The 20,208-nt window shown below is 34.2% G+C and overlaps 1 protein-coding gene across 19 annotated transcripts in view, besides 3 other annotated features; it reads right to left on the bottom strand.

Moving 5' to 3' along the window:
- The window catches only part of ZCCHC7 (zinc finger CCHC-type containing 7), a 237,983-nt gene that overhangs the window by 124,746 nt on the left and 93,029 nt on the right, over window positions 1-20,208 (bottom strand). The window lies entirely within an intron of this gene.
- Window positions 6,701-7,202: an enhancer, noted in NCBI's record as "NANOG hESC enhancer chr9:37226199-37226700 (GRCh37/hg19 assembly coordinates)". NCBI's record gives its function as "activates a minimal SCP1, AML or CMV promoter by ChIP-STARR-seq in primed H9 embryonic stem cells {active_cell/tissue: H9 hESC(primed)}" and the evidence as "EXISTENCE:reporter gene assay evidence [ECO:0000049][PMID:30033119]".
- Window positions 18,850-20,049: an enhancer, noted in NCBI's record as "POU3F2 HCT in ZCCHC7 intron, chr9:37203352-37204551 amplified region (NCBI36/hg18 genome assembly coordinates)". NCBI's record gives its function as "activates a mouse minimal Fos promoter in transgenic zebrafish G0 embryos {active_cell/tissue: forebrain | midbrain}" and the evidence as "EXISTENCE:transgenic organism evidence [ECO:0001131][PMID:20363979]".
- Window positions 19,095-19,276: a conserved region, noted in NCBI's record as "conserved region; HCT with multiple POU3F2 binding motifs". NCBI's record gives the evidence for it as "EXISTENCE:sequence alignment evidence [ECO:0000200][PMID:20363979]".

Raw genomic sequence — 20,208 nt, 5'->3', positions numbered from 1 at the left:
CAAAACCCAACAGGAAGTCCAAAAGCCAAAAGAGAAAGTAGTTCACAATTTCCCAGGTCATATGCCTAAAATTTGCTGAGGAAAATGACAGCATTTGGTATTATTTTAATTCCTATCCTTACAAGTTAAGACTAAAATAAAATAATACAAATAAAAACAAGAACAAGCTTAAGATATGCTAGGCTAAGCTATAATGTCTGGTGGGTATGGCTTATTAAATAAATTTTTGACTTAAAATATTTTCTACATGCAATGGGCTTTTAGAAATATAACCTCACTGTAAGTTAAGGAGCATCTGTACTTTGAAAATAAGTATTTCCTTGGGATACCTTACCTATAGGAATCCATTAACATTTGATTTGGAAATGAAATAGAATGGCGATGTTACTTTAAACCCTTAAGCCAACACCACCAACCTGGGAATACTGTCTCATGTGAATTAATATTGGTCAATATAAAACACGAAGACACAAACCCCTAGGACCTTACATGTTCAAATGATTACTGAATTAGGCCTAGCAATTTCTCCTCTCCAATATTAAGAGTTATAAAAAAATATATTTACACTTTCATCGAAAGAACAAACAGAAAGGGAAGAAATGATTTGCAATTTGAAGGGACTGAGCCCAAATATTTCTTTATCTCTTTATGTGTATGTGATGAAAAAGTTGCTCAACAATTATTTCTTGACATGTCAACAAAAATTTACCAAAGGCTTTGGTTGCAACGAAACTTGATTTACAGACAGTGAAATTTGAATTTCATAGAATTTTCATGTCATGATTTTTTTCCCAGTCATTTAAAAAAGTTAAAGCCCTTCTTAGCTCCAAGGCAGTACAAAAACAGGAGATTGGTTGGATTTGGCCTATGGGGCATAGTTTGCTGACTCCTGTTCTTCACCAAGGCAGCAAATTAGAATCATGTAACAGCTTTAAAAAATTATATGTCTCTCCCACACACCCAGATGCTTAGGCCCTATCTGTAGAAATCAATTTCCTGGCTAGATGAAAGGTGAGGGTGAGGGGGAGTACAATAAAACTATGAGATTTGTTAAATATTCCAGATGATTCTAATGTGTAGCCAGGGCTTAAGACTATAGAATTTAGAATCAAATGGACATTCCATAGCTTCCTAAATTTTGACAAGACACCTATTCTTTCAGATTCTTGGTTTCCGCATCGATACTGTTCAGAACTGGCACATAAGTGCTCAGTATTATCATTCCCTTTCACTGCTGCACTGTACACAGTAACTGCTTAGTACACGTCTGATCAACACAATTCTGCACAAAACATACTCCTCTCCTTTAAATAATTTAAGAAAAATAAGGCAAGAACACATGTAAACCAAAACGCAGAAATGTCTGTAATGAAATAACTATTAACACAATACATTGCTGTTTGCAGAAATGTGACAACCAGCAACAAAAAGAAGAGACTCCAGGATTATATTTTAGAATAGCAGAAAGGGAGTAACAGTGAAAAGATCCTAAGAATAACATACCTGTTTGATAAAAGACCCAAAACACTGAGAGTACTTCCTTCTTCTATTAATTAATTATAGGTCAACTATCACTTGCTGACCAAAGAACAGAGTACTAAGTCTTCCAGCTTCCTCAGCATTTCTGCCTAATGCCTTGGGGTAGGTGAAATGTGCCCCCAAAGTATTGAGAGTCTGCTCAGTTTTAAATGATAAATACTTGACCATTGTGATAGGAAGCTTTCAACAATTAGGGTGAAAAAAAATGGAGAAAAACAGCCACTTCCTCTACCACAAAATTATGTATCGTTTAAGGTATAAAGGTTTGGTTTTCATTAATCAACTTAATGTTGAGTTATAAATTTTTTAAATACTATGTATAATTTTCAGGAAGGTGGCTTAATAAAAAAATATACAAAACAACAGCTTACCTATTAACCAGGAACAAATATAAAACACAAAGTATATCAGATCTCGATAGCAACACCAACAAAATTAAAACATCTAGAAATATATTTAATAAGTAATACGCCAGCTGATATTTAAAAAGCCATGAAGTTTACTGAAAGATATGGAATATCTAAATAATTCATTCTAATGTCTTAAACTTCTAATTGAAAGATGCCAAATTAATATACGTAACTAGTGCAATTCCAATTAAAGCCCCAAAGACGTTTATGGCCAGGCGCGGTGGCTCATGCCTGTAATCTCAATACTTTGGGAGGCTGAGGCGGGTGGATCACTTGAGGTCAGGAGTTCAAGACCAGCCTGGCCAACATGGCAAAACCCTGTCTCTACTAAAAATAGAAAAAATTAGTGGGGTATGGTGGTGCACACCCTGTAGTCCCAACTGCTGGGGAGGCTGACGCAGGAGAATTGCTTGAACCCTGGAGAGATTCAAATGATTGCAGTGAGCCGAGAGAGATCACACCACTGCAATCCAGCCCGGGTGTCCTAGTGAGGCTGTCTCAAAAACCAAACAAACAAACAAAACAAAAAAACCCAAAAGGACGTTTGTAAGTGGTGTAAAAAAAAGTCTAGAGTAATTTAAATATGACTAACAAAGAGAACTTATTCCACCACATAGAACCATAAAGTTCCAGTAATCACAACTATGTAATTAAAACAAAAACAAATCAATGAAAAAAAATCTAGTCTGAGGTCCAGCTAGATAAAAAAATTAATTCATTATACACATATTTATGGAATACTGTTCTAGGATCTGCAATATCGCAACAGAGGAGAAACAAAAATTCCTATTCTCATGGTGCTTATATTCCAATGGAGAGAAAAAATATTGAGTAGAAAATTCAAAATATATTTTATTATTTTAAAAAAAGAAAAGCTGCTACCAACCTAACTCCAATAAACACTTGATATTTAATATCTTTTCTATATATACATTCATAAAATAATGCCCCATCCCACATTTTTTCCCAACAAAAGTGAGATCTTGCTGTTATGTCCTTTCTTCCCAATTCAATATATGATCACACACCATGTCAATAACAAAACAAGTATATGGCAGCTGTCCCATAAAATTCCTATCACCTAGTGATGGTGTAGTCACTGTTATGTTTTAACAATGCATTACTCACAGGTTTGGGGTCATGTTTGTGTAAACAAACCTACCGCACTGCCAGTCATTAAAAGTCTAGCAATACAATTATGCACAGTACATAATACTTGATAATAAACGACTGTTTCTGGTTTATTTATTTACTATACTTTTTATTGTTATTTTAATGTGTACTCCTTCTACTTACTTTTTAAAAAAGTTAACAGTAAAACAGGTCCCTCAGAGGAATTCCAGAAGTCATTTTTACCACAGGAGATGACTGTTCTGTGTGTGTTTTTGTCCCTGAAGACCTTCCAGAGGACAAGATTTGGAGGTGGAAGACAGCGATATTAACGATCCTGATCCTATTAGGCCTAGGCTAATGTGTGCTTCTGTGTATGAGGTTTTAACAAAAATGTTTAAAAAGCAAACAAACAACTAAATTAAAAATCTTTAGAAAAAAGCTTATAGAATAAGGATACAAACAAATTATTTTTGCATAGCTACACAAAGTGTATTTTATGCTGAGTATTATAGGAATCAAAAAGTTTAAAAAGTAAAAAGTTGATACAAATGTTGTAACTGGCATAGTTTAATCTATTATTAAAGAAAAAAGTTAATAAATTTAGTGTAGCCTAAGTGTACAGTGCTTATAAAATTTACAGTAATGTAAATTTTCACATTTACTCAACACTTACTCACTGCCTGACCAGAGCAACTTCTGGTTCTAAAAGCTCCATTCATAGTAAGTGCTCTATACAAGTATACCACTTTTATCTTTTATGCCATATTTTTTACTGCACTTTTTCTATGTTTAGATACACAAATATTTACCACTGTGTTACAAGTTCCTACAGTATTTAGTACAATAACATGCCGTACAAGTTCATACCCTAGGAGCAATAGGATATCATATGGCCTAGGTGTGCATGAGGCTATGCCATCTAGATTTAAGTATACTCCATGATGTTCACACAATGATAAAATCACCTAACTACACATTTCTTGGAATGTATCCCTGTCAGTAAGTGACATATGACTATACTGTAAAAAGTTGCCCATTTTATTCATAGAAAAATGTTGATGTTTAATTCTTATATAGCATTTTATTGTTTGAATGTACCTGAATTAACTACTCCCCTGTTGTTGGCTTTTTGAGCCATTTATACAAAGAAGCTGTGAGCCATTAATCAATGTAATATTAAATTATCAATGTAATATATTAAAATACATGCTGGGCGCGATGGCTCACACCTGTAATCCTAACACTTTGGGAGGCCAAGGAGGGCAGATTGCTTGAGCTCAGGAGTTCGAGACCAGCCTGGCAACACGGTGAAACCCTTTCTCTACTAAAATACAAAAAATTAGCCGGGCATGGTGGCAGGCGCCTATAGTCCCAGCTACTCGAGAGGCTGAGGCAGGAGAACTGCTTGAACCTGGGAGGCAGAGGTTGCAGTGAGCTGAGATTGCGCCACTGCACTTTAGCCCAGGCGACAGAGTGAGACTCTGTCTCAAAAAAAAAAAAAAAAAAGTTCCCTCTTTTTCACATATTATAATTGAACTATCGTGATTGGGTAGAAGTATGCAGAAATATATTTTCTTATATGAATATATTCATATAAGCATTCATGTTTATATTCATATAAAAATTCATATTTTCTTATATCAATATATTTTCTCATCAGATTTTAAAAATCAGGCCAGAAACAGGGGCTCACACCAGTAATCACAGCACTTTGGGAAGGCATGGCAGGAGGATCACTTGAGTTTAAGACCAGTCTGGGCAAAACTGAAATGCTGTCTCTACAGATAAAAACAAGAATAAAAATAAATTAGCTAGGCATGGTGTTGCTTGCCTCAGGAGGCTGAGGTGGGAGAACTACTTGAGCCTAGGAGTTCGAGGCTGCAGTTAGCCACGACTGTGCCACTGCACTCCAGCCTAGGTGACAGAGTGAGACCCTGTCTCAAAAAAAAAAATAAATAAATAAAATCACCTTTATAATTTACAGAACTTTACAATAAATTTTGAAAAATCAAATGCATAAAGTAATTTATAATGTAATATCTACACAATTAAGGTACAGAACATTTTCATGCCTCCAAAGGGTTCCTTCATGCTTTTTCATAATAAAATTTCTTCCATTTAAACCTGGTAACCACTGATCTGATTTGTCATTAGTTTTGTCGTTTATAGAATAGTCATAGGAAAAGATTAATACAGTACATAGTCCACTGTATCTGACTTCAATAACTTAGTATAAAGAATTAGAGGCCGGGCACTGTGGTTCATGCCTGTAATCCCAGCACTTTGAGAGTCCGACGCAGGTGGATCACTTGAGGCCAGGAATTTGAGACTAGCTTGGCTAACATGGCAAAACCCTGTCTCTACTAAAATTCCAAAAATTTAGCTGGGTGTGGTGGTGTGCACCAGTAATCCCAGATACTCAGGAGGCTGAGGCACAAGAATCTCTTGAACCTGGGAGGCAGAGTGAGCTGTGTCGTGCCCCACTGCACTCAGCCTGGGCAACAGAGCAAGACTGTCTCAAAAAAAAGAAAAGAAAAGAGAAAAAGAAAGAAAAAGGAATTAGAGACTCCTCCATGTTGTGGAATGCATCAGTAATTTGTTCCTTTAAATTGATAAATCAACATTTGCTTATCAGTTTACTAGGTGACGAACATTCAGGTTATTTCAAGTTTTTATGCAATTATAAATACAGCTAGTAGGAATATACAGGTTCAAGTCACTTTGTGGACATGTTTTCAGTTCTCTTGGGTAAATACCTGGGAATGGAACTCCTGGGTTGGATGGTAAGGTATATATTTAGAAAAGACTCTTCCAGTCTGTGTAATTCTTCATTATGACTATCAATGTATACAAGTTCTTGTTACTTGACATTCTCCATATATTTGAAATGGTTGATCTTTTCAATTATGACCTATTCTAGTGGACAAGAGCAGTATCTCATTGTGGTTTTAAGTTTCATTTTCCTAATAACTAATGATTTTGATCTTTTCATTAGCTTATATTTGCCATTTGTATATCTCCTTTAGTATATCTATAAATCTTTTGCCCATGTTTACTTGGATTGTTCATCTCATTATTATTGAGTTGTAAGAGTTCTTTGCATATTCTAGACATAAATCCTTCGCAAATATTTTTTCCAGGTCTGTGGCTTGCATTTTCAGCTTATTAAAGTATCCTTTGAAGTCTACATATTTTAAATTTTGATTAAGTCCAAATTTTATATTTTTCTTTTTATAGCTTGTGCCTTTTGTATCAAATATTAAAATATATAACCCAAGGTATTCAGATATCCTGGTTTTTTTTTTTTTTTTTTGAGACGGAGTCTCGCTCTGTCGCCCAGGCTGGAGTGCAGTGCCGCAATCTCGGCTCACTGCAAGCTCCGCCCCCAGGTTCACGCCATTCTCCTGCCTCAGCCTCATGAGTAGCTGGGACTACAGGCGCCCACCACCCAAGCCCAGCTAATTTTTGGATTTTTAGTAGAGACAGGGTTTCACCTTGTTAGCCAGAATGGTCTCGATCTCCTGAGCTCGTGATCCACCCGCCTCGGTGTCTCAAAGTGCTGGGATTACAGGCATGAGCCACCGTGCCTAGCCAATATCCTGTTTTCTTTTAGAATTTTCATATAATTCTTACATTTAAATCTGTAGTATGTCCCAAGTTAATTACTGTATGTTGTGTGATGGAAGAGATATGGTTCATTTTTGGCATATGGCTATAGACTGGTCCAGCACCAATTTGCTGAAAAGCTTGTCCTTTCCCAACTGAAATGTTTGGTATCTTTATGTAAATCTACTAGATTCTTTTCTGTCCCATACATCTACATACTAATCTTCACAATACTATCCTGCGGTTTTAATCATTGTATTCTAGATCCTTTTGCATTTGCAAATACATTTTATAATCAATTTAGAAAATTCAACTTAAGTTTTTTTTAAAGCCTGCTGGAATTTTGACTGATATTGCACTGAATAAATAGATACATCTGGAAAAAATTGCAACCTTAAAAATATAAAGTCTCATCCATGAACATGATATAACTCTCCATTTATTTAGATTCTTTTTCTCTGCATTGCCTTATAGTGTTCACTGCAAAAGTGTTATACATTTTTGCTATGATTACTATTAATATTTCACATTTTTTGATACTGTGAAAATGGCATATTTAAAAATTCAAGTTCCAATTGTTTGTTGCTAGTATACAGAAATATAATTAGTTGTTGAATACTGACCTTGTTTCTTACAAAAAATTTTGCTAAACTTATTAGTGCCAGTAGCTTATTTGAGATTCTCTCCAATTTTCTAACTAGATTTTTATGTCAACTGCAACTAAAGATGATTTAATATTTTTCTTTCCATTTCGTCTGCCTTCAGCTTCTTTTTATTGCCTTATTGCACTGGCAGTACAATGACTTCCAGACAATTGACTTCCAGTACAATGTAGAAATGTATCTGAGAAGGGACTGTCTTGTCTTCTTCCCAGTTTTAAAGTGAGAGCATTCAGTCACTAGTTGCAGGTTTTTTAAAAGGTCCTTGAATTGGATTAAGAAAGTGCCCCTTGTACTCCTAGTTTGCAAGACTTTTGTTTATTGTTTTAATCTATCATGAACAGGTGATAAACTTTGTAAAATGCTTTATCTGCATCTATTGAGGAAAACATTTTTTTCCTGTTAGTCTGTTAATACAGTAAATAATGTTGCTTAATTTTCACGTTAAACCAACCTTTCTTCCTAGAATGAACTTCACTTGATCATGACATATTAATCTTTTAATATATTACATAATTCATTTCCTAATATTTTGTTAATAATTTTTTGTGTCTATATTCATGAAGGATCTAGATCTGTAGCTTTCTGGTAGTATCTTGCCTGGGTTTTGTGTAATAGTAATACAAATCTTATAAAATTAGTTTGGAAGTGTTACCTTATATATTCTGGAAGAGTTTGTAAAGAATTGGTATTATTCCTTCTTTAAAGTGTGATATAATATACTACTAATGCTATCTGGACTTGGATGTTTCTCTACTGGAAGATTTTAATCTAACAATTCACCTTCTTTAATAAGACCATTTAGGTTATCTATTTCTTCTTAATTTTAACTTTCAAGGAATTTGTCCATTTCATCTAAGTTATTGAATTTATTGATTTTCCATAAAATTTAGGATCTGTGTGATGTTCCTCCTTGCATTACTAATGATGGTAATTTATGTCTTCTTTCATTTTATTCCTGATTGGTCTTCAATTCTGTACTTGAATGTTTATAGAATTATTCACAATAGGAATAAAATAATTCAATAATAATCCAGGGATAAAATGAATTATTCTTTCTCTGAATTCCTGATTGGTCTGGCTTAAATGTTCTTCAGCTTTACTGCCAAAACATGGAATGCAGTGAAAGCCCTGCTAAGAGAGAAATGTATAGGTGTAAATGTTTCGCATGAGCTCCACGGATCGCTACACCTGCTCCTTTCCAGTTATTCTTTCTTCAGCCTTGGGTAATTTCTTGTCACACATGCACAGATGAGTATTCGCTCAGACTCTCAAGAGGTTCATTGAGTTTTGTGGAGATTTGTGGATCTCATCACTTCTGTCCTGATGCATCTCACTACTCTCTAGTAATTTTATCCACAAATTCTAGACACCTTGGCCTCCTTGTACTTCAAAATCTATCTCTTCAATGTAGTGTGATGCCACCTGCCCAAGATCTCAGTATGTCTGCCTTCCCTGTACCAAAACTGTCTCTAGGCAATAAGGTGGGAAGAGCTACAGAAGTCACTTTATTTCCCTTCTAAGATTAGTGTCCTATACTGGTTATTATCCAATGTCTATAAACAATTATTTTATTTTGTAGACTGCTTTTCTAGTTTGAAGCAGGAGTGTAAATTCAGTCCCTGGGACTCTGTCATGGCTAGAAGTAGGAGTCTACATTACTCCTATGTTCTTTAAAAATTAAAATACACACATATACACACATGACCTGAATCTTAGGGGAAGAAACACAGACTTCCAATTCCTGGGATAGTTGCCACACTGATTTTAAAAAATTGTACACTTTAAGGCTTTTGGTAACAATTACCAGTACATGGAGCTAATGTCTTTGGATAATTTTTCATTGATCTCTGTATTAAAAATGATTTTGTAAGTTTAACCTGAATTCTTAAGAGTATCTCAAACTCTCGCAAGCGGTATAATCAATTATAAAAAGTTTTTTCCTTTTAAAAAATTAATATACTGTTTGTGACCCCTTTATTAATATTTAAAGACAAAAATCTCCTTTTACCTTAAAAGAATAAAAATAAAAAAGAACCAGAACCTAAGTTTTACATTTTCAGGGTATAAACAAGCATTTGATAAACCTCTGTAATCCTATCACCCAAAGAAGACCACTTCAATTTTTAATAGAACATTGTCTTTTTTAGGCATAAATTTTTTTAAATGAAAAATGGGTGCATGCTGTTTTACTACCTATATTTTCACTTGTTAAATCATAATATTCTATTAAATATTTGTTCAGTCACTGTCAATGGTTATAGACTATACCACAGCAAACAATTCATTACTATTAAACATCTGGGTTGTTTCCAACTCTGTAGTAAAGACCTTACATACACTCTATTATTCCTTAGAACAAATTCCTGTAAGTGAAACGTGACATTATTTTTTGTCATTTTTCTCTTTTACTGTGGTAAAATATATAAAACGTAAGATTTGTCATCTTAACCGTTTTAAAATGTACAACTCAGTATCATTAATTATACTCACAATGTTGTGCAACCATTGTTACTATTTTCAAAACACTTTTATCACCACCAAGGAGAAACTACCCTTTAAGTAACCTCCCCCAACTTCTTTCTCCCACCCAACCCCCAGTAACCTTTCATATATTTCTTTACCTATTAATCTGCCTATTCAAGATATTTCATTTATGTGAGCTCATACAAAATTTGTCCCTTTATGTCAGGCTTACTGCACTTAACACAAAGTTTTCAAGGTTCATCCATGTTGTACCATGTATTAGATTTTCATTACATTTAATGGCTGAGTAACATTCAGTTGTATGTAGATACCACATTATGGTTTTCTATGCATCTTTTAATAGACACGGGTTGTTTCCACCTTTTGGATATTGTGAATAATCCTACTGTAAACATTCAAATACAAGTATCTATTACATTTAAGACTTTTTTTTTTAAACTGTTCCTTGCGTAGCAGGGCTACCTCATAGGCAGTGTGCCCACAGTAGCCACATTTAAGACTTTTGGTAACTATGGCCCAATTGCCTTTCAGCAAGAAAGTCACTAAAACTCATAGCCATATACATACATACATACACACATATATATATGTATACGAATGCTCATTTTATCATGATCTGCCATCTTAACAGATTTAAATGGCACTTAGATTTTTATTAGTAGTGATGGTAAACATTTTCCTTATGTTCCTTCTTCTAGGAACCACTAATTCTTATGCTTGGCCCACATTCCCCACTAGAGCGTTTCTTTACTGGTTTCTTAGACTATTTTATGTAATTAGATTAAGGGTACTTTATACAATTAGACTAAAAGCCCTTTTATTAATCACATAGTTTGTGGGTTTTTTGCTGTTTCCTCTCAATTTTGTTTTTAATGATTGTTCACATTCAAAAGGTGTTCATGCAGATGTAGTTAAGTCCTACCAGTTTCTTGAACATTCTTGTCATATTGGTAACTATAGTTTCTAACTTTTTATGTCATACTTAGGAAGTCCTCTTGAAATATAAAATAATTCACTCACATTTCCTTCTAGTACTTTATAGTTTCATTTAATATTAATAGCAAATTTTAAATTATCTAGAATTTATTTTGATGTATAGTATGGAGCAGAAATGTAACTTTTCTCCAATATCACTTACTAACTAATCCATCCTTTCCCCAAATTAAAAATCTCACCTGTATAATGTACTACACTCTTCTTTATACTTGAAAACACACACACACACACACACACACACACACACACACACACACACACACACTCTGTTATTCTGGTCTGTTTATCCCTTGGCCTGTTCTATGTTATCTTAACTGTTATAAGCTTATCATCAAATTTAATATCTGGCAGGACACGTCACCATTTGTTTTTTTTTTTAATTTTCTATGCCAATCTCCCAGTAATTTTTCAGACAAATATTAAGATCATTATGTCAAGCCATAAAACAATCCCCCAAGGTTATCGATTATTTTGTGGAAAGCTGGCATCTCAATAATGTCTCTTCATCCACTTAAAATGTATGCTCTTCCATCTGATCAACTCTCCCTTACTATCCCTCTGTTCATTTTTATAGTATTTTTCATAAACTCCACACATTTCCTGTTAAGTTTATTCCAAGGTTCTGTTTTTTTTGCTATTGAAAATGAATCTTTATGAATCTTTTATAGAACCTAGCACAATGCCTTACACAGAGCAAACACAACATATTTGAGTAAATGAATAACTACTGGTTTCACATTTACATACTCCACTAGTTTCCATACCTTTAGTTTACAAAAAAAAACTTTTTAAAAAATCCACTAAGATCATTTTTAGTACTCGTATTTCATGTTCCTCCCATTCATTCCCTGTATTTAATCAACAGAGCCATCATTTTTTTCTTTGACTTTTTCTTGAGTTTACTTTCTCTATTCAAATCTTACTCATCTTAATCTAGTTACTATCATGCTCAATTCAGAGAAACCATATTATTGTATATTTAGAAACTGTGCACTCACCAACCAATGCCTCAAATCAAAATTAGATTCCATAGTCTCTGTGGAATTCAATATTGACTATTCCTGCCTTAAAATGTTCCACACTTTGTCTCTACATACTATCCTTGCCTTAAATATTCTTTGCTATTAATATTTTCTCTATTTCCAGTGTTCTACATGATTATCCATAGCCATTGTTTATTCAAATATTTAACCATGGTGATGTCATTTATAATAGCTGCTACATTATGGATCTTTCCCTTTGAAAGGCCATTCTTCTTTCTCCTTTTCTATTCTTACTAACACCATCCTTACTCAGGTCCTTAAATCTCTAATACTATAATCGTTTTCTTATCCCATGTTTCCTCCCACTCTATCCTGCATACCAGTGGATTAATCATGTTACCAGTATTTCTCTAGGCCTGCCCTAAAACTTTTAACAGCTTCTTAAGGCTTAGTGCAAAATTCTTCAAACTGTTCCTCAGGGCAATAAGGGTGCTACTGATGTGCCTCTGTGGCTACACTGGTGGAACCTGGTAAGCTCCACATTCTTCAACCCAAGTTGATTAAGGCAACGCCGCGTTTGTCTCTTTTACACATGGAGGTTATTTAGCAACATTCTGCTTGAAGAGACAACTCTACTACTTGTGTGGGGAAAAAATTTTGGAAAAGTTCAAGAGAACAAAGAAATCCCACTTAGCCAACTTGCATTCGGTCTTCACAAAATTGCCCCCAGAATTCCTTACTTTTGAGCTTTATCACTGTATCTTTCAATCAATTTTGAACAAATCAGACTTCTCTCCTCATTGTTCTTCATATAAAACAATGTTTTATCTCCATACCTTTGCTCACTTCATTATCCCTGCCCACAATACCCTTCTGTCTGCTTATATAAACTATACCTTCACGAGTCTTCCTTATCCCTCAAGGCCCAGCAAAAATGCTAGCCCTACAAGAAATTTTTCATGATTCCAACAGCTCTCAGTAATTTCTCGCTCTTTCAAACTCCCACAGTACTATCTATCAATCACTCACATTTGGCAATATCATGTGATGCCCTTCCTTTTTACTTTTTGAGACGGAGTCTTATTCTGTCACCCAGGCTGAAGCGCAGTGGCACGATCTCAGCTCACTGCAACTTTCGCCTCCCGGGTTCAGGTTATTCTCCTGCCTCAGCCTCCCAAGTAGCTGGGATTACAGACATGCACCACCATACCTGGCTAATTTTTTATATTTTTGGTAGAGATGGGGTTTCACCATGTTGGCCAGGCTGGTCTAGAACTCCTGACCTCAAGTAATCTGCCCGCCTCGGCCTCCCAAAGTGCTGGGATTACAGGCATGAGCCACCACGCCTGGCCGATGCCCTTCCATTTTGACTGACCACCAATCTTAACAGTCTAATCAGAATATAAGATCCCTGAAAACACATGATCACAATATATATCCTACATAGCTTCTCAAACACTGAGCATAGTACTGAACAACAGCTGTCTAACAAGTCTTACTGATTACTTGTACGTATGTTTCATTACTTCCTTACTCAGAAACATAAAGTGATTTACAAGTATTTTCCACATCAAACTCTTTCATCTGGTAATCAACCCTTTCTTTCCTTATTAATACCACACCTCATTTTCACTTCTCCCATGGACTCAATAACCTTCACCACCCTTCACTAAACCTTCCTCACCCAAGGAATGTCCTGACGTCCTTGATATCTATTCAAATTCTGCCTAGTCTTCAGAGACCAGTTCAAGTTACATTTCATCAAAAAATAAAATAAGAAAAGCTAAATAGACTATTCCAGCCACACTGATTTTCTCTGAACTCCTCCTAAACTTACTTTTAGACTTACACAATTTAAACTTTTGGACTCACATGATTCTAAATATACCACATTATATCTTAAAATGTCCTATAATCATTTCAGATGCATTAATTTTACCAATCCAACTGGCTATGGGCTATGAACCATTTCCTATTCAATATTTATTTTTATATCCCTTAGGAAAAATAATAAGCACAAAATAATTCTTAAAAGAGTGCCAGGAAATACAGAGGCTAAATGGTTAAACATAATCCCTGAAGATTAATCCTTAATAATGCATTAAAACAAAAAGAATTAGCCATGAATTAGTGTGCAGTCTAAGAAGGAGAAGTGCATATAGCAGAAGTTAAGCCATCTCAAGGAATTAATTTTCAGGTATAAAATTAGTGAGCGAGTACCTAGTGCAGGAGTTAGCAAACTTTTTTGGCAAAGTGCTAGATAAATATTTTGACCTCTGCTTGTCATATAGTCTCTGTCACAACTACTAACTCTGCTGCATAATGGACAATATGTACATGAATGAGCGTGGCTTTGTCCAAAGAAACATTCATTACAAAAAATTGGGCATTGGGCCAGATGTGGCCTGTGGGCCAGAGTTTGACAATTCCTGGCCCATTCTGGAAGTGGTTTTAAAACTTTTGTTTTCTGTTTGTTTTTAGTTTTCATTTTTAAAGAACATTTTTCTCAAACCTTAAGCAGAATCCCAATCTTTTTTCTTTTTTAGGGGGGATGGAATCTTGCTCTGTCACCAGGCTGGAGCACAGTGGTGCAATCTTGGCTCACTGCAACCTCCGCCTCTCTGGCTCAAGTGAGAATCCCAATCTCAAAAAAAAAAAAAAAAAAAAATGTTGCTCTAGTTAAGCAGGGAAGGAGAAAAAAGACTGCAGAGTTACAGAGCTGCCCACTAGACGTTCCCCTCTCTAACACCTTCTTTCCCATCTCTAAAGCTCTGCAGGATACAATTCGTTTTATTTTTATTTTTGGAGGAGTCTCGCTCCGTCACCCAGGCTGGAGTGCAGTGGCGCAATCTCGGCTCACTGCAACCTCTATCTCCCAGGTTCAAGCGATTCTCCTGCTTCAGCCTCCTGAGTAGCTGGGACTACAAGTGCGCGCCACCACGCCCAGCTAATTTTTGTATTTTTAGTAGAGACAGGGTTTCACCATGTTGGCCAAGCTGGTCTCGAACTCCTGACCTCAAGTTATCTGTCAGCCTTGGCCTCCCAAAGCACTGGGGGATTACAGGCGTGAGCCACCACGCCTGGCCCAGGACACAATTTGAATGCATTTAAACCCCTAAGTTTTACAGGTAAGAAAATAAACACAGGGGGGAATGAATTTATATACATTATGAAAACTTGAGCCAGTGCTAAAATTAAAACTTAGAACTTCACTCCTGATTGTGTGCCTTAACCATGAACCCATAATAGTTAACTTGGGGAGTCAGTAAGGAATCAAGTGGAAAGACAAAGCACTTTATTATGCTTCATAACTTCTGATAAGGCCTTATTATTTAATTGTAGTTGGATTTGAGGATTTGAATCCACAAAGATTTTTTTTTTGCCCTTTCAAGAATCTTTATACTTAGATCTATCTGCTACTTGACAATCAAAACAAAATTCCAGAACTGTCACGGAGGTAAACAGTAAATAGCTCGTGATCCTTGTTATGAAACCATAATTAGGAATTTAATGGCCCTAAATTTGTCTCTTTTCCATACGATTTTTCATAGGCTACTGCTAAATTTTAATATCAGAGTCCAGCAAAAAGAACTAGAAGATGATTAAGTCTAAAGAATTAATGACATGCTTTAAAATAGAATTTCCAAAGTATATATCCAGAGGAATAACTACTGATAGGCCATAAGCAGAGAATTTCCAAACAGAATATTCATTCAAGATCATCATTACTGAAGAGAAAACTGGCACATTTTAAAAAATGATTTATCTTCATATCCAGAGTAGGATTACCTCTGACTCTAAAATATAACCCTGACAATCTCTGACATTTTCTCTAAGTTGTGTGTAAATGTCTTTAGAATAAACTCATCCTCACATATGAAGATTAAGTACAAGATACTGTTGGAAATTTAAAATAGCAATAATTGGGAAAAATTAGACAAGAGCATGGACACAATATTATTAATGCTCTAGAACATTTTAGTGTATATTATTCTAACAATAATCACACGGATTTTTTTTCAGCTGAAGGATAATAACCATGTGGAAAACATGTACTGCATACATTCTAAGTATCCACTTTAATCAAATTTGAGGCGAAAGGGGAGCTTTATAAGGTGCCAAAATACTATAGGTTTTATTTTTGTATTATCATGCTAAACAGTTCTTTCACTGATTGAAGGCTGCTTGAGTTCCTAAAAGTTTTTATAATTTTTACATGACTCACATAGACTAAAACAGAAAATTTCCAAAAATTATTGTGAAATAACATATAGGCTTATAGACACAGTGCTTGCCACATTTAAAAATGAATTTAGAAGATACAAATAATTGCTGAAATTTCTCTCATATGCATGAAACATTTCTTTTTATTTTCACGGATACTGTTAAGAATTAGAAATAAGGTAATTATATAAACACATTATTTTAGTATTAAGAAAAAATATTCATCTGTGTTTTCACTGAAGGATTCTAACTATAAAACATAACCTTCAGAATTCTCATCAGCTTCTCTCCTTAAGTCACTGTAAGATAGATACACCTGTAGCAAATAAAGAATAAAGGGAGCCTTGTAGGAATATTATTGAAATTTTAAATAAAAAGAAAAGTGAGATAGAGGATAAAGTGCATTTTATAGTATTTTCCTACAGTTTTGAGTAAATATGAATATCTTATTTCAAATTTAATAATTATTATTAGAAATTATCCTTAATCTACAGAGTCAAAACTACTTAAGAACATTTTAAAAATAAGAGGCTTTCATAACAGTTAACATAAAATCAAATGCATACTACAATTAAAATTACAAAGACTTCCGTTTTCTGGCTGTTCTAAGAAATGTCTTAATAGAAAATTTTATGTCAACATTATGCCATGGGCAATGAGATAATGCTCTCCCTATAAGATACACTTTTTATTTATTTATTTATTTATTTTTGAGACAGAGTCTCTCTCTTGTTGCCCACGCTGGAGTGCAATGGTGTGATCTTGGCTCACTGCAACCTCTGCCTCCCAGGTTCAAGCAATTCTCCTGCCTCAGCCTCCCAAGTAGCTGGGAATACAGGTGTGTGCCACCATGCCCAGCTAATTTTGTATTTTTAGTAGAGATGGGGTTTCACCATGTTGGTCAGGCTGGTCTCGATCACCTGACCTCAAGTGATCCGCCCACCTCGGCCTCCTAAAGTGCTAGGATTACAGGCGTGAGCCACCGCGTATGGCCAAGATAAACATATGTTTTCTAACCATTTAGAGCAAATAAAATTGGAAAGGTATAAATAAAATAATGTCTCACAATAATATAATAAAATTTCTATCAGATGCAAGCAACAACTATTTCCTTTCATGCTCACAAACATTTTTCTGTGGCTCAGAAATATGAACCATATACAGGCAATTCATGTACTTTCTAAGAGACAAGAATGAAAATTACAGAAAATGCTATATGACCTCGTTAGTAAAGAAATAACAGTTCTATTACCTACAGCAAAAGACAGGAGTTTAGGATGTCAGGAACAGTTTAAAGCCTCTATGATCAAGTAATATTCTCTGAGTCACTACTTTGTTAGTTGTGTGGGAGTGTAGCAAAAGGATTATTGCTAATCCTTTAACTGTGAATAATGATTTATTGAACAATTCCTACATAAATTCCAACTGTGACCACAAAATCAACCCCTCATAGGCCAAGATATTTTCCTCTTATATAACAAAATTAAAATGTTTAAAAATATACACACACAATTAAATCAATTACAAATTGATTTATATGTGTGCAGTAAAGGCTTTACAGCTTTTATTTACAGCATTCATTTTTATTTTAATCTTAAACAAGTCTAAGTATGGCCCTTCCACTTAGGTATCAATTAAGAGTGGTAACAAAATTTCAAAATACTTTTTCAAATAGGTGACAGTCATTCAGAGAAATAAAGAAGCAAGACATTAGAATGAAGTTAAGTGCATCTTTTGTCAGTAACGTGTGCTGCTCCCACTGGCCTCATAAACAAGCTGCTCCTTTTTGAATAAAGCAGACCTTCAATTTAAATTTATGGAAAGACTAAAGCAGGAGAGCCTGCACTCACAATTTTAATAACCTATTAAGTTGCGACTTCAGATTCATTTTATAACCACGCTCCTTAGGGAGCTATGCTATCTGGATAAAGATAAAATTTTTTTCCTTTAAAGATAAATAGCATCATTAATCTGCAACATTTCTTTTCTATTATCTTTCGAAATGAGGAGTTATTTTGTTCTGATCTTGAGGTAATTAGCCTTCATTCACTAGCCTGAAAATGTCTGTGTTCTGAAAATTAAAAATGTGTCATTAAGTGGAATTTACCATAATGTCATTTATCTTTATATAGTTCATCAGTGACAGCAATGGGCCTGGGAATCCATCAGCTTTTACCAAGGAAGCATTAAAACAAATTGAAAAACAGAATAATCCCAGACACTCTTTAACACAGTCAAAGCCATTTGGGTAATTAAATAGTGGTATTTAAAGTTTTAATTTAGATTTTTCCCTCTGTTCATCAGTAGTCAAATGAGATGTTCATATTCATAACTGTTTGTAATAAAAGGTTTCATAAAGCAAGCAGAATATCAATGTTATTAAAATTTAATGTAACATAGGGTGAGCTTTAATCTACAAAATAAAGTTTTTATTTTCCTACACCCTGATTTATAAGATTACATCAGAAATATCTCTTTCTTCAACTGTATAGGTTGCAATATTAGTTTCACAAAAACTGATATTCAATACCCAAATAACAAAAAAGTATATGACTTGAAATTGAGCTTCATTATTACCAATGCTGAGGAAGAATAGTATCTCTTCCACCTTTAATTTGTTTTCACTAAACATACTCCTCCAACAATTATTGTACAGAATTATGAGACACAATTATGAAAATAAACTCTGCTTCATAAAACATCAAAGAAAATAAGAATTAAATTAATGTAATAAATAATTCAACTAATAAATAAGAATTAAAATAAAATAAGTATTTTGTGGTGGTAAAGGAGCACAGAGGCATTGTTACTATATAACTAATTCTATCCATATAGTGATGAGAAACAACACGACAGAAACATAGCTCAAAAATCATATTGTTAGTTAAGACATTAAAAATACCCTGAATAGACTTCTAAAAAACACAACATAATGAAAGCAGCTGAAAAAGCTAAACTGTCATAAAAATGTTTCTTAAGTATAATAGCTTCAATGCACAGCTTCATTCAACATAATAAAAACATCCAGTATGTCCCTTTCTATGTATCTAGAAAAACCGAATCTGGGATAATGTTTCCTTAACATAAAAATAATCTAACAACATAAAGATTAACTTAATGCAGCATGGCTCAGTACTAAGTAATTTATATTCTGAACTTACATAGTATACTCAAATGTGTTAATGAGTGTTTCAGTATGATTTTATGTTAAACTACTGGATAACTTAAATTTAAAGCTTTGCCACATAGATATGCAAATTAAGATTTCAGATGTCTTGGGGAACAATCCTAGGAATAAGTGATTCTTTGTAAAATATCTAAAATAGAAATTAATTTTCTTGTCTGATGAATTCTAACACACAAATACACACACACACACACACATACACACCATTGAGCGAATCTCATACCAAATATTGGTTAAGGACCTAAAAACTTAGAAAAAGCTATCTATCATCTCCGATTCCCAACTAGCTTTTCAATGTTGTTGATTTACTCTGCACTGAGCCAGGGAAATGGAAATATGCAATATTAAATAAGTATATGATTTTATCATCCATTTCTTTAAAACAATGTGCAAGATAATAAATCAGAAATTTTTATAATCAAAACACTTTAGAAACAATCAATTTTACAATAAGGAAAGGAAAGGCACTCTCAGGAGGTGAAAACTTGGCATATTGGTACTAGTCAACAACAGCACAAGTAGGATTAGAATTCATGTATCCAGGCTATTCTTATACCATCTGCCTTGCAGATCAATGAATCTAAAACATTTACTCAATATTTATGCATTTACTAAGTATGAATCATCAGATAAATAGACATTACTAACAATAAAAAGCATATTCTGAATTTGACACCTTGTTAAAAGTTTTCAGACAGTATTAGGATCCCTGTATCAATAAAGCAACTAACAAGGGTTCTGTTGCTGCCTTGAATGATCTGCTTTTGAAATTTTAACTAATATTTCTTAAAATAACATATTTACCAATATAATTTCTAAGTCTGTCTTTATTCATCCTGTGGAACTACAGGTTTTCTGTTATATTGTCATTTTAGCTAAAACTATTTGCTTGCCCCCTTTAAACAAGGAAATAACACTATCCAGGTCAGGTTGAGCAGTAATTACATTATCTTCAAAATTGTGTGGAGGAAGGACCTTTTGGTCAAATACAACTTTCAAAAAAA

The sequence above is a fragment of the Homo sapiens genome, chromosome 9 (genome assembly GCF_000001405.40).
Source record: "Homo sapiens chromosome 9, GRCh38.p14 Primary Assembly".
Lineage (NCBI taxonomy): Eukaryota > Metazoa > Chordata > Mammalia > Primates > Hominidae > Homo > Homo sapiens.
This window is presented reverse-complemented; position numbering and strand designations above follow the sequence as displayed.